The sequence below is a fragment of the Homo sapiens genome, chromosome 2 (genome assembly GCF_000001405.40).
Source record: "Homo sapiens chromosome 2, GRCh38.p14 Primary Assembly".
Classification (NCBI taxonomy): Eukaryota; Metazoa; Chordata; class Mammalia; order Primates; family Hominidae; genus Homo; species Homo sapiens.
Window position 1 is genome coordinate 192749832 of NC_000002.12, and position 27068 is coordinate 192776899.

Sequence of the window (27068 nt, forward strand, 5' to 3'; positions counted from 1 at the left end):
ATGGTAGTGCCCCAAGGCACTCTGGCACCCAGTTTTGGAACTGCAGTTTTAAAAGTCATAAATTGAATGAAAATGATAGCAAAGGTGGAGGTTTTTAAAGAGCTATTTATAGGTCCCTGGACAGCATCTTTTTTCAATTAGGCAGCAACCTTTTTGCCCTATGCCGTAACCTGTGTCTGCAACTTCCTCTAATTGGGGTGAGTAAGAGATTTTGTTATGTATATAATAGCTAAGAATATAGTAATAATGGCTTAAATCATGGTTATTTTTAAACTACTAACATTTAGAAGACAAAATAAAAATGCTTTGAAAAGTATAGAGGTTTTAGTGTAATTAGCAGGGAATAATGAAATGATTTGATAGGGCTACTCAGTTTTGTATAACTTTGGTGCTTTAAGTCTGAATGCAGAGCATGGATGTTGTGATCCAGCCTTTATATGTTTTCCCTGAAGAAGATTTAATTTATTTGGCCTTTTGAGAAACACATTTGGCATTGTAATATGTTTTGCTTCCAGGTTCTATCTCCAAGGATAATTTGACAAAATCACACATAAATTTATTTTCAGGGCACACAGTTTCCCTTTTAGGGAACTCACAGAGGTAGAGAGTAATACAATAATCACATTTGAATATTCAGTAAGTGAGGTCCTCATAGATCTTATGTGTATGTCACCATGTATATAATTTTGTTAATCACTAGATGTATGAGACAAGAAATTTGAGGAACCTTAACTAGAGATTAAAATAGGGATTTAAATCAAAGAAACATTTAAATGCCTCCTTTATTATTTAAATACCTGCATGGTGAATCATTGAAAAAAAAATAAAAAGCATACAACTTGGGAATATTCTAAACCAAGAAGAATTTGTTATTCTGGTTGATTTTTTTTTTTCAGGCTCCCACAGGCAACTTACCTTTATCTCTTTGTGATTTTTATTTCTTGTTAAAATATACAGAAATAGTTAAGCAGATTCATAGAGCTGAATGATAAAATTGTACTACGAGATGCACTGGGACTCAACGTGACCTTATCAAGTGAGGTGAGCCATTCATTAATTCAGATAATGGAACTTATTATCATAATCTTTTGCTTATGCTATTGTTGAGCTTAACTACTTATTCATATTTGCATATGCATATTGAGATAATATCATTTCATTAATTTCAGTACTGAACACTAATCTCCTAAGAGTAATTGTGAAAGTTTCAGATTGCACTATTTTTAACTATATATCTGTATGTTATCTTCATATATGCTTGAATAACTTATAAGCAATTGAAACTTTCAATTACAGTATACTATTGAAGCAAATCAACTAATATATACACATATCCATTAGCAATAGTAGATAATTTTTGTAAATGTCCAGCACAGTTCTTCATATGTAGAGGATGTTCAAATTGGCTAAGTTCCTTTTCTCTCTTAATTATTAGTATTTTTCCTACTGCTCTTTGTATAATTATTCCTTCCTCTTTAGCTCCAATCCTTACAATCTATTCTTAACATAGCAACTGGAAGAAAGTTTTTAAACATAAACCAGATGATGTCACTCCACCCCACAAAACTTCCACTATTCTCTGTCACACATAGAAAGAAAGAAAAAAAATATTGAAAACCTACAAAGACTTGCTATGATCTGGTCCAGGCTCTCCCTAAAATTTCATGTAATTTCCAGCCACTAGGCCTTTCTGGCTCTCCTTCAATCTCATTAGCCTTTTCACTACTACAAGTTAGACTGGGTTTTGGCCGAGGTATTTCTTTTTTTCATATTTTGCCTTTGCCTAGATTGCTCTTCCAATAGATATTCACAATTGCATCATCATTTCTATATACGTGCTAAAAGGTTTCCTTGTCCAAAATAGCTTCAGTGACCACCTGATCTAGAATAGTCTCGATCAAAAGTTTCTTTTCCTTTTCCTCACCACTTGATATTTATATCAAACATTTATTTGTGTAATTTATGTGTTTGTTTGTTTTCTGTACTAGCATTATGATGACCATACTATTTGATGCCCCCCAAAAAATACTTTCGAGAATGACAGGGAAAGCTAAAATAATTAAATTATATAATTTTGACATAGGCACTATTGACAAAAAGCAATTGATGTTATGATAGTGTTAGATCTATGAAATAGTACTATTTAAAAGTAATTCTCTGAAATACAATTTTCTAAAACTAAAAGCAGCATATGTACATGAAACACCAAAAAACTTCCTTATATTTATCACTGGAAGATTTAAAATAGTATAAGTAGTAACTTATTTAATATATTTTTGATTATTTAATTAATTTTATAGTATCCAACTCTAATATAATGCCAGTGGTATTTGTTCAAAATATTTTAATGTTGTCTATTTATTTTTAATTTGCCTAAAAATTATCTTAAATGAAAATTTTTGGTTAATAAATTTGAAAATACTGAAACCCTCATCTCAGTCTCTGTGGATCCTAAAGTTTTTAGTTGAGAAAATAATTTTTCTCTAGAGAATGAAGTAGCTTGTAAGCTTGGAGAAATTTCTGCTAAATAAATGATATTATCAACTCTATTTTCTTCAATACGAAATATATAAATATTTCAGCTCATATATTTTTGCAGGTGCTATGCTTTTGCTTCCAATCATAATTTCTGACAAATATTTTGGAAGTCAAAACTTGTCTTCTATTTTGTTATTTAAAATTATATAGACTACTTTTGTAAACCTTTATACTATCAAATCATAGGCAATTTCAGTTTGATTTCATTCTGGTGCAGAATATAAGTTTATCCAAGTAAAACTGGAGTCACTTCAAAAGATTCCTCCCACTGACTGAGATATTCCAAAGCCAACTTTGCAAAATTTCAGAATTAAATATTATACTTCTTTGTACCTTCATTTTATTTGTTCAATTTTTCTTTGTGTTTGTAGAAAATTTTAATATTTTTCTGTTTTCAAGTTTTGATTTTAATTTACTACTTTATAATTTTTAAAGGTAAGTTTTGTGAGGCTATATTCATTATGTGTTTTGAATAAAGACATACAATTAATTTTGAGAACTGCAATAAAAATTATAAGACTATTAAAAATGCAGTAAGTGTACTACACTTAGGCTGCTAAAAATGCAGTATCAGTAGACTACATTTAGGCTGCTTAAAGTTAGTTCTTCTAAGTACCATATACTTTAAAATTTTAGCTAATGATGGAGAACAAAGACAGAAAGACTGTGTTACCATATTCTAGTTGGCCATTTTGTTTTGTTTTGAGAGACGTCACATCAGCCTTATCATAAAAATTATTTGGTTTTACCATTTTGACTGTGAGCAAAATATACAGCATAATATACAAAATAAAATATATGTACATCTTCACAACTTCTTGTTTAGGATGCAATTATATATATATATATATATATATTTATTATTATACTTTAAGTTCTAGGGTACATGTGCACCACGTGCAGGTTTGTTACATATGTATACATGTGCCATGTTGGTGTGCTGCACCCATTAACTCGTCATTTACATTAGGTGTATCTCCTAATGCTATCCCTCCCCTCTCTCCCCACCCCACAACAAGCCCCGGTGTGTGATGTTCCCCTTCCTGTGTCCATGTGTTCTCATTGTTCAATTCCCACCTATGAGTGAGAACACGCAGTGTTTGCTTTTTTGTCCTTGCAATAGTTTGCTGAGAATGATGGTTTCCAGCTTCATCCATGTCCCTACAAAGGACATGAACTCATCATTTTTTATGGCTGCATAGTATTCCATGGTGTATATGTGCCACATTTTCTTAATCCAGTCTGTCATTGTTGTTGGACATTTGGGTTGCAATTTTGAGTTTCATGTGTAGCATGTATAGCACAACCAATTAAGATTTCTTTCTTTCTCTCTTTTTTTTTTTTTTTTTTTGAGATGGAGTCTTGCCCTGTCTCCAAGGCTGGAGCCCAATGGTGTGATCTTGGCTCACTGCAACCTCCACCTCCCAGGTTCAAACGTTTCTCCTGCCTCAGCCTCCCAAGTAACTGGGATTACAGGTACCCACCACCATGCCCAGCTAATTTTTTGTATTTTTAGTAGAGATGGGGTTTCACCATGGTGGCCAGGCTTAGTCTCAAACTCCTGGCCTCATGTCTGCCTGCCTTGGCCTCCCAAAGTGCTGAAATTACAGGTGTGAGCCACTGTGCCCGGCCAACATTTCTTAACCTAGTAGTTTAGTTTTTATAGTTTTATTACCGCAGTGAACGCTACACCAAAAATTTCATTTGAATTATTAACATAAAAAGAAATAATTTTGTATTAAACTTTTAAACTGAATTTTCAATAGCATTCACAATCATATTAAATGTTTCACCTTTTACAGAATAAACTTCCATGAGCTTTATTTGTTAACATTTATTGATACACACAATTAATAAAGCATGTAAGTAATAAACTGAAATTACTTAACTGGTTGAGAAATTTTTTTTTTGCTAGGAGAACCAACACATTAAGAGCAGTATCTTCAATTTTCATACATGAACAAGAAAACTTCGAAGCAAAAATGAATATATTTAATTTAGAACAATGATTTTTATTTGAAAAGTCACATTGCACAGAGTGATATATAAATGAATTTTCTGAAGATATATGTGTTAAATCAGGGCTTTCAGGCACAGTCTGCTTAAAACTTTGGAAAGAGATACTATTTTTTTTCAGTGCATTTGTATCTTCTAATTTTCTCATAGTAATATCACAGGGTCCCCATAGGTGATGCTGAATATGGGCAACTGGTTTTTTTTGTTTTTTTTTTTTTACCTGTTGTCTTAGCATTCCCTAAAACAGGGGTCACCAAATCCCAGGCCACCTAGTGGTTCTGGTCCATGGCCTGTTAGGAACGAGGCCACACAGCAGGAGGTGAACGGCAGGTGAGCAAGAATTACCACCTGAGCTCCACCTCCTGTCAGATCAGTGGTGACATTAGATTTTCATGAGTGTGAATCCTACTGTGAACTGTGCATGTGAGAGATCTAAGTTACACGTTCCTTATGAGAATCTAATGCCTGATGATCTGAGGTGGAACAGTTTCATCCTGAAACCATCCGCCTGCCCTGTCCATGGAAAAATCGTTTTCCACAAAACCAGTTCCTTCTGCCAAAAAGGTTGGGGACTGTTGCCCTAAAACACAAACCCTAGGCAAAATTTTTACAGTAACTATTTTATTGATTGTGCAACCCAAGAAATTCTTGAGGTTGGGAAGAGGATGAGAAGTTAGTAGGGGAAGGAGGGACAACAAATATAAGGAGTGGCATTGTTAGACAGGTCAGAACTTTGAGACAATTGCTCTGTCTAGTGAGCCATCTTCAAAGGGGTTGCTTCTCTGACTGTTTACCTTGGGAGAAGCAGGGAGAAAAATAATATCTAAATAATATCTAAATAACACTGAAGGCTTGTCTCATGCCTTCAGTGTTCACCCCAGACAGCATTAATTACTGCAGCATCTTATACTTCAGCAGTATTCAGGAACCCAGGGAAAGAAAAGGAAGGACTTCCAATGTAGGTTGAAAGTGAGGCACCCATAGGGCATATCCAGCAAGGTTTTCAGTCTGTTGAAATGAGAGTGGGCACAGAATGGGAATATTACCAGCCACTGAGTGCCACCCAATTTAGAAAGCAAAGCAAGTGTGCAGAGATGGGTAATGCATAATCTGAATTTGGTACAATCCATTCATAGTGCAGGTCAGATCTGCTCACACTGTACTACGATATTCAATTCTCACCTTCGATTCTTCCCTGAGAAGAAGCATAAAAATTTAATCTTTAAGTATTATTGTTAACTGCTGCCTCCTTAAACAAACAGCACACAGACAACTTTATATTATGTTATCCAATGAAGTTACAGCTGGCCACCTTCAGCTATAATTTTGGGTCTTGCTGAATGGGGTGATCCAGACCTTGGATTTAGGGGTTATTATTCCTAAGTTACTTTGAGCTTCTGGACATGTGTTCTATGCGGTTAACATTTTTTTATTATCACTGAATACAAAAGCACCAAGACATATCCCAGTGAATCTACTGGGTTCCAGACATATTTCTTTTTGCCCTCACTATGTAGTAGCAACTATAGCTTCTCATGATTATCAAGATCGATGACTCCCACTAGTACATTCCATCTGCACCAGGATTAGGAGCTCAAGGTAGTTCATACATTTCTTCTCCACTTGGAAAATAACATCTCTAAACTAGCAAAGTCTAAGGCAGGGTGGAAAGCACTATATTTTGAGCATGGGAATATGTTAAAAATAACTGGGAATAATGGCAAGCAGGGGATCCCACTTCTACTCCTTACCTCCCAGACCTATGCTTCAGTGCATATAGTGTACACTAGAAGACAACACCCTGGGATTTTTTCTCTGAGCTGGCTCCTTAACTGAGTCTTCATTCTATCAGTGTAGTAGAATACTAGTAGTAAGCCCCACGAATCTTGTGATTACCTATGCATCAACATACCTCCTTTGTGATAAAGCAGGCTCCTTGTTCTAAAGCAATCCCACATGAAATGCTCTGTTGAGATATCAGGCATTTTTTAAGCCCTTAAATGATGGTGTTGATTGAAAAACTGTGCAAAAAAAGGCAAACTCATATCCAGAATGTGCATTTGTTCTGATAAGGACAATCCTTATTCCCTTTCTGGTGGAAGGGGTCTTATTTCATAGCTCTGTCACCAAGAGGCTGCTTAAACTCCCGAAAAGTAGTGTCACATGGAAGACTCTGCAATGGATATGCACTGCTCTCAGACTGGACATTCAGCAATGGTAGCAATAGATCAGCCTTGGTGAAGACGAATACATGAATACATGTCATTAGCCTCATGCATAGCCTTAATCCTTCTGCTATGACCACCCTGGTCATGTGCTCATTGTGCAAGCATTGCAATAGTCATCCTGTCTACCTTGTTGAAGAGATGCTCCCTGGAGATGGGTTCTCTCTGGTAGAAATTAATACTAGTTACACTTATCTGCATGTGTTGTGCCCACTCCTATAGGATCTTCCATATACTTCCTTCCCAGAGTTCTTTAGCCCCGACTTATTAGTCTTTTTCATTTGAGGACTCTGACCATTGAGTCTGGCCACTGCCACAACCCAGGAATCAACATATTATCTGTACCTTTTGTCATCTCCCATTTCATGCAAAATGAATGACTGAGTTGACTGCTTAAAACTCTGCTCACCAGGAGAAGTTCCCTTTGTTGCTGTCTCTAAGGCCAACCCTGAGTGGGGCTGAAATGTGGTAGTGGTCTACTTCAAGTTTGCACCAACATTTTGGGCTGTCTCTTCTGTTAATCAGATCAGTTTCTTCCCTTCTTTGATGTTGCACACGAGGAACTTCCTGTTGCACATTTTGCCTTCTATGATTGAATGTCATTTACTAATTTATAATATTTATTGCTTTTCCCTTCTATGATTGTATGTCATTTGCTTATTTATAATATTTATTGCTTTTCCCTTTAAAACATAATGTAAGCTCTATGAGGGTTACTTTTTCAATTTTTTATTAACTGATAGGTCTTGCTTGCCTAAAAGGACCTGGCATATAGTGCTGCATACATTCAATAAATGTTTGGTAAAAGAAAGAATAAATGAACTCTCTCTATCTCCTTTCCCTGCTTCAATTTTGTTCATAGTATGATTCACTATGCAACATTATACATTATAATATGTTTTTTTTTCAGTCTTTCCCTCCTCCACTAAAATATAAAACACACAAGAGGTTGTCTGCTTTGTTTAAAGCATTATCCCCAACACCTATAGAAGAGCCTGCTTTGACAAATACTTTTTGCATTAATTAGCAAATAGACAAGGTTTTTCTCATTCCCTGTCACCAGGTAACACCTAATGCCCTGTAGGTTATATAACAGGCGCTCAGTGAAAAAGTTGTGATACAAAATAAATGCACCAAAATTTTGCCTCTGGCCCAGAGGTGGCCTCTCTCAATACTACTCTGATCTTTCAGAAGTAGAATTGACAAGAACTAACAAGATAACTTTGCCTCCTTAAACTTGTTCCTCAGGAAGTTTCAAAGGAAAATTCAAATAATTTATCAACCAAAAAAGACTAGAAATTCTCATTTTTTTTACACACATAGCTTTTATTTTGAATCCTGTCGATTTATAGTGTAAGGCTTCCGTGATTCCTATTACCTTATTTCATTGGGAAAAAGAAACAAAACAAAACAGAAAAAACTGGAAGCCAATATCTTCTGAAGTGATGTGGGAAGCTAGGAGGCTCCTTTGTTACCTTTACTTCACCTCACATGTATAAAGAATTCCATTCTTAAAGGACATCACATTTTTTAAAACACTGTTGTATTTTATTATATGCATATCTGGAATAGAAAATCTGACAAGAGGGCAGCCCTGAACAATTTTCCCTATCATTACGTAGAAGATGAATATGGAGTTAATTTTCACTTTTGACACATTATATTGAGATTTTAAAATTCATTCTGTCTAAGTTGGGTTTGGAAGAAGTCTAATCTCACAGTTTCATTTGAGGACAGCTCTATGAATATTTGTGAAAAATGAATATTTTATTTGCCTTGAAAACTATGATTCAATTTGATGAAATGAAAAAAATTTATGGATAATGTTTAATCACGACTGTCATATAAGAGCTAAGCTGTCAGCAGGATGCTATGACACCTAGAGTTAGTTACTTCCAGCTGAGAGAGGATCCACACAGCCTCTAATAGCTTAGGAAGCTGTGACTTGATATTCTGGCTCATTTAATAGATTCATTGTGCTTCATGTTCTATATGAAATTCTGTTTGAAACCAGCCTAAATATGTTTTAATGTTTAATGTCATTATATTCTTTATACATCTACTTTTTAAAATGAATGCAGAAATATTTTTCCAAAATTTAAAAAGGCATTAATTGACATGAACATCATTTTTATCATGAAGCTTAAAGAGATGGTTTGTTAAGTTAATCAATATGTGATCACTATGATAATGTTATATACTCAGTCTTTTGCTGGGAACTATAGAGTTATCAACAATATATGGTTCATGTCCTCTACTCCTGAGGAATTCCTAAGTGGAGAGAGAAAAACTATGTAACCCTACAGTGTAATGTATGGAACATACTTACTTGTGAATGTATGTGGCAAAGACTAGGAACAGTAGCACTGATTTTAAGTACAATAATTAAATAAAAGTGATTATTTTGCTTTTTTTTCTCCTTAATGTCTAGGAACTTTTGGTATTCTTCCCTTCCATTTATTAAGCTACATGCTCATTATTTCCTTGTTTCTTAGCAATAGCCAGACTTTAATCCAATTGGTCATTTACTACTTTCAATTCAATGTGATTCTTTTACTCTTCTCCTACTCAATATTTTTCAATATTTTGACAAAAATTTAGACAATATGCCTATTAACTTTGTAGATGCTACAAAACACAGTAATTTTTACATTTTATAACAAAAATCAAATTTAAAAATGAACAAGCAGTTTGCAGAGATTTAAATAGCAAATGCACATTTAACAAGTATAAGAGTAAGTTTGGTACTTGGTTACAAAATACCAATTTCACATGTAAATAAAGGATTTTTTAACAATAGCATTGTGAAAAAGAATTGAACCTGAGACCTCATATTCAGTTTAAGACTATGTGATATTTTGTCCAAGAAAAAAATAAATATGTTATGCAAATGGAAACTGAGTGTTTAGAATACCGAGGAAGATAATTCTGTTCTACTATAGACTGCATACGTTATACCTGAATTCTTATGTTTGGATATGGACTCCCTACTTTCAAAACACAGGAATATAGTATTATTCATTTAGAGGCTCGATATTATTATTATAAAATGCATGGTTGAAGAAAATATAAGTATACAGGTTGAAAAAGAAAATTAGAAAACACTCTAAGCACTGAACTACAATTTTAGACCTGAATAAGGAAAACTTTTTTCAAGAGCCAGAAATATTCAAAAACTGAGTTGGCTACTGGAAGAAAATACTAATGTAGTGGTCTTGGGGTTTTCAAACATGCACCAGAAAACCAAATACTAGATCTGTATTGTAGAAGAGATTTGGGCAATGTTTAGTTAGTTGAAATAAATGTCCTTAAGTATGAAATTCAGTGAGTCTATCATATCTTTTATACATATACATATGTATCTTTTAATTGCCCCCAACCAACAATAAATATGTCAGTTCTCATATCAAAACTGCAATCACTTCTTCATCTATTTGCTTTTTATTATTTTTGCATAACATTTTTAAACTGTGGTTTTCAAAACTATAGTTACAGGGTAGAACACTAATACACTTCTCTCTTCCAAAACCCCCTTTGTAATTTATTATGTGAAGTTTGTTTTCCTTATAATACACAGTCTTTGAAACTTAGTTTCCACACTTATTTATTTATATTAACACTTGAGTCATGCTAACTCTCTAATCACTGGTATTCAAACCCAAAATTTAAATTGTTGCTTTTCTTAGCCTATTTCACCTCCCCAAGTCCTCTGTCTCTATATTCAACCACCCTTCAAGACCTATCTTCAATTGTATAATTTCCAGAAAGACTTTGGGGATACTGACACTAAATTTTTTTCTCATTTTTGAATCTCTACCATGCTTAATAAAACATTATTACCACGCTATTTACTTTCATGTGCAGATCCTTGAGTAAAAAATTATCCCTGAACTTCATGTCCAGAGACCTGGGTTCTACTTATGACTGTACTTCCATTTAGCTGTGTAGCCTCAATAAAGCATTGAAACTTTCTGTATGACAGGAACTTTATCCATACAATGCAGATATATTTCAATTATAATAAATATTGAATGAATCTTTTTGCCTCAGGATCATTCTTATATTGTTGACTTGTTTAATTATTATAATATAAATTCATCATGAGAAGAGTGGTCTTCCATTGCCTTGTTTCCCCATAATACTTATCATTTAACTATTCACAAAATGTCCACTTGCATACTTTCAATAAGCACAAGGTCAAATAAATTTAAAACTAACAAGTATTTTATAGTTTCATTCACTCTTTTTATTTGCTGACACTTTGATATATTTTCATTCCTCAAAATAATTTCAGTATCTTGACTTTTAAATATTTTTTCAGGATATTAATGAGATGTCTCAATCTTAAATATTGTTTTCCTTATAAATGCTGTGTAAAGAATATATTTTATGCATCTTAAAATTATCCTTACAGTATAAACAAAGGTTTATTTCCCTAAACTTATGACCAAACTGAGCAAATAAGAGAAATGCAATGCACTATTTTGCTCATTGATCACATGAATTGTCTCCAGCTTTGAATCTCTGTCCTCATTTATTTTTTATTTTTACTTATTTACTTTTGAGACAGGGTCTGTGGGTCTTGCTGTCACCCAGGATGGAGTGCAGTGGCACGATCATAGCTCACTGCAGCCTCAAATTCCTGGGTTCAAGTGATCCTTCTGCCTTGGCCTCAGAGTAGCTGGCACATGGGACCACAGACACACACCACCACTCCCTGCTGATTTTTTTTTTATTTGTTTGATTTTTAGTAAGAGACAAGTTCTCACTATGTTGATCAGGCTGATCTCAAACCCATTAGCTGAAGCAATCCTCCTGCCTCAGCCTCCAGGTGCTGGGATTACAGGCATGAGCCACTGCACCCAGCCTGGCCTTACTTTTTAATTCAGAAATTAAATACACCACTTTGAAACAAGATAATATATCAACCTCTAGTAACAGATTTCTTCTGAAAAGGTGTTCCTAACAAAACCTGGAAATGACCATACCCTGGCACCTGCTGAGGGGCTCTGCCTGTCAATGGCATGGCTTCAACTGGAAGTCAATGATAACAGATATGTCATTATCCCTATGTGATATCCAGGATCTAACCCTGTCCATTCTAGTTGCTTCTGATGTTCCACCTTAGAATAATTGAATTCTAATGGATAATGACCAATTACTTTTCACTCATTAGTTTGAGAAGTGGTGTCCTCACTCACATGAAACGGAGAGCTTGCATGCTTATGTTCAATAAACTAACAGGCATGGCTACCAGTCACCACTACTAAGGAGGAGTCTTTGTCAAATTAGAAGTACTATTTCAGGGATTTGTGCATGTAGATTCACTGTTGAAAGAAAATGATCTATTGTCATTCCAGACATCCCATCTTGCTTCTGCATAATATTTTCAGACTACAGAAAAGAATAAAGAGAAGATAGATCTCTTTAGTGTGTTGTTCTTTTACAGCTGCCCAATGCTAAAGCAGATTTCAAAAGTTGCAGGCTATCCTTTTTTTTCCCAAACATAATTAGAGCACTTAGCCAAACATGTATGCATATTGTAGCTGTTGACTATTGCCGAAAACACAAAATTTCAGAGGCACAAAATTTCATTGGCATACAAAATAAACATTTGCTTTTTATCCATCCATGGTCAACTGGGACAGCTCATTCAAATCCCACTCTTGGAATGGTGCCACAATTCCACTGGATGGCTCTACTTTCAGGTCTGAGTCCACCTGAGCTTGGTTAGGGAGGCTTGGCTTCACGTAAGTTCATTATTCCTGAAGGGATAGCAGCTACCCCAGGGTATCTTTTCTCACAACGATAACAGAGCAAGAGGGAAGAATGAGATGTCTTTGAAGGCTTAGACTAAAAACTGGTGCACTTTCACTTCCAGCAATATTTTTTGTTTAAAAAGAAATCAAATCAAACAGCAGTGAAGTAAAGGGACAGGAACATGTACTCCAACTTTAGTGGGAGGAAGTTAAAGTGTGTGTATATGGTGTTTCTTAAAGTTTAAAGATCCTTTTGATAAAAACAACAAATCATAAAAACACTCTAGTAGATGAAAGACAGAATTCTTTTACTGACAACTCCAAATTTTTCAGGCAGGGCCACCTAGGGAGTTGCATCCAGAGAAAGGGTAACAGCAAGCTGAAGCTATGGTGGGGCAATTTATATAACAAGTAGAGTGGATTCAACTAGCTTCCCAGGATCCTTGTGCATTGGCTAACTTGAACAATTTCTCAGGCTCCAGGGCTTAGGGAGTGTGTCTAGTTGCCTGATACCTGGCCCTGGGGCAACTGAGGAGCCTACATAGTGGCCAAGAGTTTGAAAGCTCAATAAGGGGAGTGATTGGCTTGGGGAGTGGACTTAATCAGCTGCCAAGAAGGGAAACTGACTACCCTCTAGCCTGGGCCTCAAAACTGGGTCCAGACAGTGATTAAACAACAGCAGAAACTGTTACAATCTACCGCTTAAAGTCTTGACATCAGTTTTGAGCTTATTTGGCATATTTCAATGGCCAAATAGTAGCAAAGACTTTCACAGAGTAGAGTATAAATTGTCCAAAGAGCATAGAAGACATTTTATTATGGGAGTAAATAGGAGAAAAACATATAGAAGAATAAAGAGTCCTTGTAGGCCAGTCCATCACCAAGATCTCCATTTTATGGCATTACTAAGAAAACAGAGCTGGAATTTCTGGGGTCCCTAACAAGATCTTGGTGGAGTTGTAAAATGTTTTAAAAGTACCAATTATGTGGTTTTATGATAATAATATCTTGATGTATCCTTGGGTCAAGGTGGTAGTTCCAGTAGTTACCTTGTAGAGGGTATACAGTTAGTAAAGCATATGTAAAGGTTAGTGATATTTGTTTGAAACCAAGTGAAGAGGTGGTTGTGGTCATGTTCAGAAATGCAGAGTGGGAGGTCGTGGTGGTGAGTTGAAGTGGGAAGAGTAGGGAGAAGGCACTGGGAAATGGGAAGTTCACTCCCCAAGGGAGTCAATGGGTGGACTGATATGAGGTAGTTTCCTTTCTGGGGAAAGTAGTAATCTTCTTTAATGTTTAGAAAGGCACAGATGCTAGTAACTGCTACAAGTTCTTCCTTAAGGCATAGGAGTTTAGGAGTGTATGTTTTTACAGAGAGCCATGAGTACACACAGAGGTCAGATATATGTAACTTTCAAAATAGCCAAGGGAATTGGGAACAATATTTAAAATTAGTGTTACATATGTTGGGCCTTGAATTAAAAAATTAAATTATGGGGCAAGATACAGATGCATTTAGGAATTCATTTGTCATTTTGTAACTTATATAGGAGTTCTTTGATAGGCCCATTTAGGTCTCCCAATTAAATTAGCTGTCTGGGACCTATCCCAGAGAGAAAAGTTCCATTGAATGCCTTTTGTAAGAGCCCACTATTGTGTATTCTGAAATGTGAAATGTGTGGCTTAGTCACTGTCAGTAATGTCTGACACGTCAAAGGGAATAAGAAGTATCCCAGGAAGACTCTGTATTGTGGCCTTAGTATAAATAGCAACATGTGTAACCTTGATATATATTTTGGATACTTGTGAAGCAAGAGATTCTCAAAGTTCTTTACTCTGAAGGGGACAACTCTCAGGCAATGTTTCAAAAGTTTGCAAAAATGTGGAGATGGAGCCATTTGCTGACTATGATATCTAGTGTTAAGATGACTACCTAGTTTGGGCAAGCGACATGACCCTTGGGTTTCATTCTTTATCTGGAACATTCTGGGTAAAAAATGGAAAGCAGCAATATTTCCCTGTGCTCCATCATGTATGACAGTGACAATGCTATTGTACACTCTACAAACTCCCACTGCTGTTCACTCAGTTAATCATAAGTGGCTCTCAGATATCTAAAGGGCTTGGAAGAGGGGTAAACTTCTCCAACACCATGGCATCTGGCAAGCGACTGAGGACATTGGAGGCCATCCCCTCTTGCAAGTGGAATATGCCAGAGGGCTGAGATTTACTCCATTCTACATCGAGAAGTCCTTTGTAGCTGTGCCCAACTTGTCTGGTTCTGCTTCTGTGACTCAAAACATAATTGGCAGCTTGATATGAAGAGTCACAGACTTAAGGTCTGTAAAAGCCTCTATTTCCAGGAGATACCAGTATGTGGCCAGCATGTTCCTCTCTAATGGAGACTAGCACAAGAATGAGTAGGATTGGCCAATTTGCATAATTTCATTGGCTCAGGGACATAAAGGCTGTCACTAATTGTCTGATAGCTGGCCCTAGAGTGATTTAGGCAGGTGCTTACTGGTCTCAAGTGTGAAAATACAGTAAGGCAAATACTTAGCTGTTCGAAAGGGGGAACTGACCAGCCTCTAGTCAAAACCACAAAACTGGGTCAAGATAGCGTTTCAAATAAACTACATAGGGGTATGAGTGAACATTTGGAGCCAAAAAATCAATCTGTTATACATAGGCACTACTACAAAGATTCTTCAGTATCCAAATTATTATAATTTAAGCTGAAGAGTGTGTTGGGGATGGTGGTAGAATAAACTCACCAAATAACTAATAACTAATGGCTACTAGGTAACAGAAACTATGTGAAACACTGAGCTGAAAATGACTGCTGCTTAACAATGAGATCTTTCCTGTTTTTCATAGCCCCTTTGAAAATATTTTATTGCTAAATCTTGTATACTATACCGACAATTAACAGGCTTTAAATATACATAATTATAGCCACTTTTAAAGTAATAGCTTAATTGATAGCAGTAATATGTTTCCAAAATCTATCTAAACTATGCTTTCTTGGCCCCTTTTTTTTTTCTATTTTGACTTTTTAAAACTTCTGTATTCAGTCCCTCAATCTAAACAACTATTACCTCAGTAGACTTGCAACCAGGTCTTTATGTTCTTGTAATTTGAAACTTTTAAATTTTAACAACTATTTGGAAAATCATCATCTCCTTTATTTGTTTATGATGAGTTACTTAATATAAATTTGTTTATATTTTATCATAATCACATATCAAAATGACTTTGTTTTATTCTCCTTTTCACTTAATAATGTTTATTTCATTTTTTTCCCTTACTAAATTAATTGAAAATTCTAGGCTTTTATTTACTGAGCATAGTTTGATGATTATATCATTACATGTATCCATGTTTATTTGTATTATGAAAAATTACACGAAGTCTGTAGCATGTGTTTACTTTTGAAGTAGGAAGTATGGGAAATGACAAGTCTTTGCTTGCTTTATAACATGTTATATTACCATGTGTCTAAGGACATATCTTCCTTTCGTTCTATCAGAGACAGATCTTTCTTTAATTCTACAGGCTTAGTCAAATGTCATAACTTCCAGTAATTCTGGTAAGTACACCAACCTATCCACCAGTTCTTGATAGTTCACCCAATTTTCTATTTTTAAATAAAATGATGAGTTAAATATATTTCCAAACAAATAAAGCATTTATATATTTCAGTTTAAACAAAGCATTTATTTGTGGTGAAAAAGAAAGATGATGATGTATCTGGAATTCTAGCTGTTCTTAACAACGTGGGACGAAGGAAACTTTCAGTACATGGGTTTAATTGTCGATACAAAGATGGGCTGCTCAGTCCTTCAAGGAGGGACTTACAAACCAGCTTGAAACTCCTGCAGGGTCTGCCTCAACCACAGACAACCTATTAGAGGTCACACATGTGTCAGGGCAGCTCCATCTGGTGAATGAATGAGACAGAGAACAAAGGCCTTTGCCATTTTGACCTTAAGAGGGTCACTTCCGCAGGCAATACTCCATAACTCGTTGCTAGCTTTTCTGATGTTTTGTCAAATCTGCATTTTTGTTTGACTCTTCCTTAGCCTGATACTGATTTCTGACATCTCTCTTCACATGTAGTGAGTCCTAATAAACATCCTGTACCCCATACTTTGCTTCTATTTCCAGAGAACACAATTGGTGACATATCAAAGTAGGAACATTCTGGACTCTATGATTATAGTCCTAATTCATATCTTGAATTTCAAGCATTAGCAACTTCAGGAAACCCAAGTGGTTCAGCATATTTTCACTATAAATCAAATATGTAAAGTCGATGTACAATCACTGGCCCTTGTTGGAATTATTTAGAAAGTCCAAAGTCTCTTAGAAAGCAGAAAATATATCTATGGATTTCTGCTTATTAATGCATTCATTTAAATATCTGAGCATTATTCATTCACTCACTCACTCATTCTTTCAAACAAATTTTATTCCCAGCTGTATGCTGGCTGTCTTGTTAAGTGCAGGGATACAGAGATAAATACATGATCTCTGTCATTAAGGCACCTAATGATGACAGAGATAAATATAATACATAATTTCGAAAGCACGTGTATTAGAATTAGTTTTAGTGTTTTATCCATTTTTGTTTCTGTTTTTGTTTGGCTGCTGTAACAAATTACCACAAGAATAGTGGCTTAAGACAACACAAATTTATTGCTTGCAATTCTGGAGGGATGGAAGTCCAAATTCATTCTCACCCGGCTAAAGTTAACAATTTTGTGGGGCTGGTTCTTTCTAGAGGCCTTGAGAGAATCTGTTTTCTTGTCTTTTCCAATATTCAGTAGCTGTCTGCATTCGTTAGTCAATAGCCTCTTCCTCTTATTCCTCCAGTCTTTCTTTCACTTCACGTCTCTTATTACTTACCCTGACCCTCTTGCCTTCTGCTCATATGGACTCTTGTGACTACATTGGGCCTACCTAGATAACCAGGATGATCTCCAAAACCCAAGAGCCTTAATTTAAGCACAGCTGCAATGTCCCCTTTACCATGAAAGGCAAAACTTATAGATTCTGAAGATTAGAACATTAACCTTGGGGGCCATTATTCAGCCTACCACACTACTTAACTATGTGGGTAGAGACAAGGGCAGGTACGAAGTCAGAATATTGCTGCTAAGAGCATCCTAAGGTATTGAGGAAGGTGCTGAATAGTAGGTCAGTAAACTTTGCCAAAACATAGCTTTTAAGTAGAGTGTTGAAAGATAACTAAATGTTTGTTAGTGAAGGGTACAGCAGAGGTGAAGTGTACCTTCTAGGATGAGAGAGTAGCTTCTGCCAAGGCATGGAAATGACAGGAAATATAAGTATTCATGGAATTCTAGCTGTCAGCCACAAGACACATACTTTTCTTACACTTTATTTCTGAAAAATAGCATGTTTCTTACAATTAATGAGTATATTTAATATAGTCATTAATTATTCCTAAATATTTTATGTTTTCTATTAAAATATGAATATAATGTAATTTAATAAACTTGGTTTATATGATGCTAAGAAAATACTGAGAGATGAGACCAAAGAACAAAATATGTGTCAAACTCATTACAGGTTGTAACCATGATAAGGAACTTTTAAACCATACTGGCGATCACACAAAGTTTTTGATTTTCTTGAAGAAGTTATTTCACATAGTTTGATTTTAGTTTTAGAGAAATCACATTGACTGCATGGAAGAAAAGTATGGGAGAGGAGCAATAGTATAGACAGAGAAAAGAGATGTTTGCCATAATCTGGCAAATATTGAACCCTGAAGGAAGAAGGTGGTAGGCTGTTGATTGAGAGGCGGTGAGACATAGAATGACCAATTTTGGTAAATGATTTGTTGTAGGTAGTGGGAAGATAAGAAAAGGTACAGTAATTTCAACGGCTCCCTGATTTGGGCAATTAGGAGAATGATTGTACTTTTTGTTGAGAAAAGAATTGAGGGACAGATGTTTTTTCAGAGAGGAATGGGTGAATAACAATATGTATGCATTGTATTTAGTTTTTGAGGCATGTGTGAAATATATAAGTTTAAATATTCATCAGTATTTGTATATAAGTGTATGAAGCCCAGGAATGGGTTTTTAGATGAAGATACAGATTGAGCAATCATTCAGTGGTAAGTTAAATCTAAAATGAAAAGCAAACAAACAAAAACTCTTCTATGTACTGTCAACATTTTGACACCAAATATGTGGGTTTTCCAACCAACCAATTATGACATTGGGTGCTCAGAGTTAACACAGATCCCATAGGTTAGGGGCTCAGACCCCCAAGACTGCCAACCCCCCCATACACAATTCAGATGCCAACTGAAATTTCAGGGTGTCATCTGTGCTTCTGACCAACTATCTCTAAATCAAGCGTTTCCATGACCTCCTCCTTGGGTTGAATAATTTCATAAAACAACTCACAGAAATCAGGATAAAAGCTTACTTGCTAGCTTATCAGTTTATTACAAAAGGATACAACTCAGGAATAGTCGGATGGAAGAAAATCATACGGCAAGGTGTCCAGGAGAGGTGTGGAGCTTCCATGCCTTCTCCCAGCACCTCCACAGGTTTGCCAACCCGGAAGCTCTCTAAATTCTCTGAACCCTGTGCTTTTGGGTATTTACAGAGCCTTAATTCTTAGACAATATTGATTAAAACCATTGACCTTTGGTGAATAGGTTCCCATAGTCTCTCTTCCCTCCCAGAAGGTCAGGGGTTGGGGCTAAAATTTCCAACCCTTTAATCACAAGATTGGTTCTCCTGGCAACCAGTCACCATCCTGAGGCTATCCTGGAACCCTCAGCTACTAGTCATCTCATTAGCATACAATAAAACACTTATTATTTTGGAGAGTCCAAGGATTTTAGGTATTTTGTGTCAGATAATGGAGACAAAGACCAAATATATATACTTCTTAATATATCACAAAATCACAAAACCTTAAGCAGTGACGACACAATATGAAAGAATGGCATGAACATTTCACTTTGCTTATTTGGGCTGTTCTGGGGTCAGCTTTCTCTCATTTTGGAGGACTGTCCAATTTTGTGTATTAATATGAGATGCAGTGTTCTGCTTCTCACCATGGTAGTATAACTTGGACTAACTTTTAGTTCTCTGCCCACTGATGACCTAAGTTTTGGGAATGTGACTTGGGCTCAGCCAATCAGTTGCTCCCACACAAAACTTTAATCTGGAGTTAGAGGCACAAAGAAGAAGGGTTAGGGCTCATTTATAAGAAATTTGTTGTGTTCAGTGAGAGCAGCACCAGGACCGTAGTGTGAGATTTCTACCGTGGTAGGGGCAGAGTCCTAACCAGACTGTTAAATACTTATTTCCTGACCTACTTTTAATTTTTTACCTCTTTTCAAAGTCTGATCGTATAGTTGGTCATTAATTCTCAAATTCTTAACATTATTCTCATAAAAACCCTTTACTGCCTCATCTAGCTATAGTTGACTTTTCTTCTTACAATCATGATTCATAAAGAAGACGTATAGAATGAAAAAAGAAATAGGAGGAGAAATTAGAAAAAAAAATTGATGGTTACAGATAATACGAAGAACCTCATATTTGATGGTTACTATCAGTCTGAGCCTTTATGTTTTCCAGTAAGAATCTTTTACTTTTAACCTAACAATTGTGAATTGCCATACTTCCTTCAAACAAAACAGCTTCACATGCAAAAAACAAGCAATGATAGTCTTGGAATTTTCCAAGCTGGTTTGATGAAAAAGTATAACTGGCACTACTGATTTTATTGCTTAGGAATGGATTAATCTCTTTATAAGTTTGCTTTCACTGCCCATGCATATATTGACAAAAGGGGGTGTTTTATTCAGTTTAATAAAGAATTTTATATGTGCTTCTGTGTGTATATAAGTACAAAAAGGCTTACTTAATGTATTTATATTTTTCCAATTCTGAAAGACCTTTATGGACTATAAATATTGATTAAAGTGATATTTTTTCTCAGAAAAAGATTGCTTAACTATACCCATAAAATGGCAATTTGACGGAGTGTATGGATCTTCTGCAAATACTGCTACACAGGATTAATTTTAAAATGTAATCCAGCTCATATATCATTAAAACTTTTTCTTCAATAGTAAAAAGGTCCCATTTTCACATTACAAAGATCAAAACACATAATTTTCATATTGTTTTAAATGGAAATGAAAGATTTCCTAGATAAAATATAAAGAATACAAAATTGGAATATGAATTATTTCATGTTTATGAAAGCATCAAAACATAATATGAATTTTCTAGTTTAGTAGATCATGTTGAGATTTTTGCCCACAAATAAACTTTTGGGTTATTTAATACAAGTATATGAACATCTAATCATTCCTTTATTCACTTCTGCCAATTTTATTTTGTGCCTTCCATGTGGCAGTAACTGCATTAAGTATAGAATGATACATATATAGAGATTTTTCTAGTGAAGGGCTCAAGGTTTGAGTTGATGGTAGAAATTGATTCAGTTATAAATAGGTATAAGGCAAAATAGAGAATGAATGTATAGTCAGAAAATTTTAAAAAATAGAGTAAGAAACTGTAATATAAAACTTAAATAGTTAAATGGATTTTATTAGTCTATAAAGTCAAGGATTTGTCTATTTAGAAAAGGAGCAGGCTATACCATTTATCAATATTTTCCTACTTTAATTTCAAAATAATTCACATTTATTAGAGTGGATATAATATATTCGCACAAAGGAAACTTAACATGAGGAGAACTCCTTAAGAATTATAAAGTATTATTCAATCACAAACCTAAATGACCTAAAACGTAAAGTGCAGAGAAAGCAAAAGGCAGGTGACCTAGAAGGTAATAATACTTAAGGGAAATATTCTGTCAGTTTCTAGGTGCCCTTGAATGCTCACACTCTTATGTTTTTGCCGTGAGCAATAAGCTGGAGACTCTATTTTTTGTTCTTTCTATCAAAATAAGACTGATTTTCTACGTTATAATTCCCATTGCCTTAGAATTTCATTACTTGAGTTATAGTAGTTAAGCAAGTCTTTTAATTATAGCATAAAATGCTCTAGTTACAATAGTTTAGGGAATATATTAATCACTCACTGACATTTACATATTTAAATGTCTTGTGCTCCACATACAATTCTAAAAAGAGAAAAGAGGTTTTTTAACATTTCTTAACTGAGTTACTTTAAATAAGGTGATTTTAAGAGCAGTATCTGTTTATATCAAGCATCAAACATTTTGGTGGTGACAAGTTATATGAATGTATTTAGAATAAAGGTTAAATGCCAATTTCATTTTTCAGATTTAATAAGTAGATTTCAAGTATAAAAAATTATTATTGAATAAAGCCACATATTTTAAAAGTCTACTTAATATCTCCACTGAGAGTCTATATTTAAGTGGAGAACTAAATACTTAGATTTCACAATAAACAAACAATGCTTTACATTTGATTCTTAATTCTAATATAGTTAAAATTAAATGTAATATAAAAGCTGTATAAATATTTTTAAGTTTACATAATGAGGCAAATGAAATTGAGTATTGTGTATGCATGTAAATGTACACGTGTTTTGGTTGCTGTTTATTTTTTGTTTTTCTTCAAAATCAATAGACAAATATCAAAGCTTTCAGATTCATTGATGTGATAACATTTGATATTTCACTTCAATGTGTAAATAATTTGACTGCAAATTTATACGTGTGTTTTATTCAAGGGTTTTCTGATTTTTAAAAAAATCTTGCTGGGCCACAAATATTGCCAGGCTTTGTCACAATTTTTTGTTTGTTTGTTTTGTTTTTTGTTTTTGAGACGGAGTCTTGCTCTGTTGCCAGACTGAAGTGCAGTGGCGTGATCTTGGCTTACTGCAACCTCCACCTCCCGGGTTCAAGCGATTCTCCTGCCTCAGCCATCCGAGTAGCTGGGACTATAGGCGTGCACCACCATGCCCAGCTAATTTTTGTATTTTTAGTAGAGACGGGGTTTCACCACGGTGGCCAGGATGGTCTCAATTTCTTGACCTCATGATTCACCCGCCTTGGCCTCCCAAAGTGCTGGGATTACAGGTGTGAACCACCAAGCCCGGCCTGTCACAAGTTTTTAGTGTTCTATTTTAATACAGAAATTAGATAAATCCAAAGAGAAAGACATTTCATATGTGGTAGAGTTGTCGGAAGAAATGAGAGTCTTATAAATAACTTTAAAAATTGTGAAGAAATAAAGACAAAATAGTCCTATGCAGTTTGATTTAAATATATTCTTAATAAGAGCTACTTTTGTGAAAACCAGAATATTGAAACATGTAGATATGGATCTTCATTAGTGACTGACATAATATATTGTTATTGTTACTATTTTATTGTATCAGCCAACTAATATTGAGTGCTTTGTGTATCCTAAGCACTATGCTAAACACTGTACCAGTATTACCTGATATAATCATATTAATATTTATTATTTCACTTTTCATATGAAAAAATTGAAGCACAGATTAAGACACTCCGAAATCATACCTCTATTGATTATCAGCACCAGGATTTGAATTGAGGCACTCTGATCCAGAGAAGCTTTTGTTTCCATGAAGCTTATGTTGGGGAAAAATAATCAAATTGCCTGTACTCAGTTGTATAAATATAGGTTGGTTGTAGATGATTCTGGCTGATTCAACAGAAAAGAAATTTATTCAAAGGATATCACACAGTTTTCATAACAGTTAAGAATACAGAGGAAACAGGGCACCAGGGTAAGTACAGACCAAAGTCCAAAACCACTGCCAAAGTTGCAGCAAGGAGAACAGCACAAATTTGCTTGCTGTCACCCGCCACTAGATGCTTTTGTTTGGAGCCTTGAACTTGACTTACACTGCCACTGACATCAGCACCAGTGCTCTCTGTGTACTAGGAGGTGGACCTTGTGACCGTTGCTGAACTCAAAAGTCAGATGTTTCTGCTGTGAAATAGATACCTAATACAGAACCTGCTTCCTCATTCATTCCCTCCCAAATCATATGCTTGTAGTGTGGCTAGAGTTTCTGTTTCTCCTTGGTCCAGGCAGAATTTATGAAGCTTGCTATTTATCGCCTTAAAGATTAGAAGAATATTCATAAGGTATTAGATTGCCATAAGGTTGAACAAATCAACATTCAACTTCAAGGATTCAACATTGTTTTGTTTTCTTTTGGGATACCTCTGCAGCAGTTCAAATCTTATTTCTGCCCTTGGACAACCAGGTTTATAAATATTGCAGATTCTCCACTGACTGCTTTGATCCTATCTTCTATATTTATGTATACTAATTAGCATATAATAAAAGATTATGTTACAGAATCTCAAAATTAGTAATTATGAATTGAGATGGTGTTATACAGTACACTAACATCCAGAGACTTGTTTATTCCAAGGAAAATATTTAGAGATATTAAATGATATTTCTATCCTTTAGACATATACATTTTTTAGCTTACAGCCTGCTTTAGGCAAGCAACAGACTCTCAGGATCTGCTCCTACCAGGGTCTGAACATTTCCTCCCAGTTTTTAAAGAAACAAATTCAAATAACATTGTAACCTCCAGAGGAAAGTTCAAGCTCTTTTATAGTATTGTTTAAACAGTACAGCTGAGGAAACTAAAGACAGAGAAGTTAAATGCCTTGGCACTTAGTCTAGATTTACAATAAACTCCTCTCTACTTAGGACCCACTAACAGGGGCTGCATTTACACCAAAACCATGAAGGTGGCCCAAGTCATCACTGAGAAGTAGTACAAGCACCGAGGGAATGACTTCAACAGGAACAAGAAAGCGTGGAAGGAGATCCTAGCAGGAAGCTCCACAAGAAGATAGCATGTTACGTCTTGCATTGGATGAAGCAGGTTCAGAGAGACCTAGTGACAGCTATCTCCGTCAAGGTGCAGAAGGAGAGATCATTGAAGTAGATTTTCATGCAAAAAAAAAAATGTTGAAGTCTTTGGACTTCGGGAGTCTGTCCAAACTGCAGGTCACTCAGCCTACAGTTGGGATGAATTTCAAAACACCAGTTGGAGCCGGTTGAATCTTTCTGCTATGCTGTAATATTTTCAGTAAACCCAGAACAACAACAACAACAAAACACAATGGAGGAGAAGCAGCCAAGTCTCTTGGTTTACAGAGTAGCTCCTAATACCCCTTGCTGTCTGTCTCAGTGCCCAATGGGAAGATAGTCAAAACAATATTCACACCTGTGATTCATCTCTCTACATGCAGTGTGTGTGAATCTTTATATACTGCATATTAAGGATCTGTCTTTACAGATAAAAACTAAAGCATTGAAGGAACTCCTTGTTTTGACTTATCAAAGTCCTTAAGAAAATACTAGAAAATTATAGCCATTGTTTCAAATTTTAGCTTTATATTATCACTTGAAATGTGATGAAATGTGGCTGATAGATAATAATTCACTGATAACCTACAGACAATTCCCATCTTAAAATGGACCATTGGATTGAAGAATTAAATAAAATTGAGGGTTTTCCTTACATGTTTTGTCTAAAGAGCGAAGTAGAAACAACTGTTCATAGATCTTCATTGAGGATTCGCATGTGAAGTAAGTACTCCTAAACATAAACAGTGACTTATCAACCAGTTCCATAAATCATGAACAAAATATTTGTCCCAGAGAGACTATTTTTCCACCACATCTCTTGTAATAAACACAGAGCCAGTTCAGTTAAAATAGTTTAAGGGTGGACGGTTCAGGGCTTGCTGAGTGGCACTCAGTAAGAAAACCCAGCAGAACATTTACTTCTCTCTTTATTCCAGAGCATCAATGGCCAAGGCTGGAAGATCCCAGAACACTGAACAGACATTTGGTCTCTTATGGCCTGCCAATTTTCACAGTGGGTTCCAACGCTTTGGGTCAAACCAAAATAGACCTGTTAGAAAAATGTCGGTTGGAATACGCTAACAATAAGACAGAATAAATGTGATTATTTGGCCTCATTTTTATAGGACTTGAGTAATTTTATTATAACATTCTTGAGGGCTGGAAAATCTGAATGTTAGGACACCAAATATCTCCAGAAAACAAGTTTTATATTTCTAATCCTGCATAATAAACCTGGGGCCACTGCAGGCCTCATTAATAAAAACCTAATGGTATAACAATAATGAGGAGGAAATGCCAATGCCGCACAAATCTGTTGAGACTAAAATATTTCTCACCCCAGCAGGCTTGGTGCATTTGACACTTCATGATATCAGCCAAAGTGGAACTAAAAACAGCTCCTGGAAGAGGACTATGACATCATCAGGTTGGGAGTCTCCAGGGACAGCGGACCCTTTGGAAAAGGACTAGAAAGTGTGAAATCTATTAGTCTTCGATATGAAATTCTCTGTCTCTGTAAAAGCATTTCATATTTACAAGACACAGGCCTACTCCTAGGGCAGCAAAAAGTGGCAACAGGCAAGCAGAGGGAAAAGAGATCATGAGGCATTTCAGAGTGCACTGTCTTTTCATATATTTCTCAATGCCGTATGTTTGGTTTTATTTTGGCCAAGCATAACAATCTGCTCAAGAAAAAAAAATCTGGAGAAAACAAAGGTGCCTTTGCCAATGTTATGTTTCTTTTTGACAAGCCCTGAGATTTCTGAGGGGAATTCACATAAATGGGATCAGGTCATTCATTTACGTTGTGTGCAAATATGATTTAAAGATACAACCTTTGCAGAGAGCATGCTTTCCTAAGGGTAGGCACGTGGAGGACTAAGGGTAAAGCATTCTTCAAGATCAGTTAATCAAGAAAGGTGCTCTTTGCATTCTGAAATGCCCTTGTTGCAAATATTGGTTATATTGATTAAATTTACACTTAATGGAAACAACCTTTAACTTACAGATGAACAAACCCACAAAAGCAAAAAATCAAAAGCCCTACCTATGATTTCATATTTTCTGTGTAACTGGATTAAAGGATTCCTGCTTGCTTTTGGGCATAAATGATAATGGAATATTTCCAGGTATTGTTTAAAATGAGGGCCCATCTACAAATTCTTAGCAATACTTTGGATAATTCTAAAATTCAGCTGGACATTGTCTAATTGTTTTTTATATACATCTTTGCTAGAATTTCAAATTTTAAGTATGTGAATTTAGTTAATTAGCTGTGCTGATCAATTCAAAAACATTACTTTCCTAAATTTTAGACTATGAAGGTCATAAATTCAACAAATATATCTACACATACAATTATAGATTGTTTTTCATTATAATGTCTTCATCTTAACAGAATTGTCTTTGTGATTGTTTTTAGAAAACTGAGAGTTTTAATTCATAATTACTTGATCAAAAAATTGTGGGAACAATCCAGCATTAATTGTATGTGATTGTTTTTATGTACATAAGGAGTCTTAAGCTTGGTGCCTTGAAGTCTTTTGTACTTAGTCCCATGTTTAAAATTACTACTTTATATCTAAAGCATTTATGTTTTTCAATTCAATTTACATGATGCTAATTATGGCAATTATAACAAATATTAAAGATTTCGAAATAGAA

General features: G+C 35.2%; 1 long non-coding RNA gene and 1 pseudogene across 2 annotated transcripts, besides 1 other annotated feature; both read left to right on the forward strand.

Moving 5' to 3' along the window:
* Nucleotides 1-13: 13 nt before the first annotated feature.
* PCGEM1 (PCGEM1 prostate-specific transcript) lies at nucleotides 14-27068 on the forward strand. 2 transcript variants are annotated; one of them, NR_152587.1, is made up of 4 exons: nucleotides 14-197; nucleotides 958-1041; nucleotides 3893-4014; nucleotides 25747-27068. It is a non-coding gene; the product is annotated as a PCGEM1 prostate-specific transcript (long non-coding RNA). The 2 variants fall into 2 exon arrangements; NR_002769.1 differs by lacking the exon at nucleotides 3893-4014.
* Nucleotides 23212-23506: a silencer, noted in NCBI's record as "tiled region #3165; HepG2 Repressive DNase matched - State 8:EnhW, and K562 Repressive non-DNase unmatched - State 24:Quies". NCBI's record gives its function as "represses a minimal TATA promoter and a strong SV40 promoter by Sharpr-MPRA in HepG2 and K562 cells {active_cell/tissue: HepG2 | K562}" and the evidence as "EXISTENCE:reporter gene assay evidence [ECO:0000049][PMID:27701403]".
* On the forward strand, nucleotides 24367-24638 carry RPS17P8 (ribosomal protein S17 pseudogene 8; annotated as a pseudogene).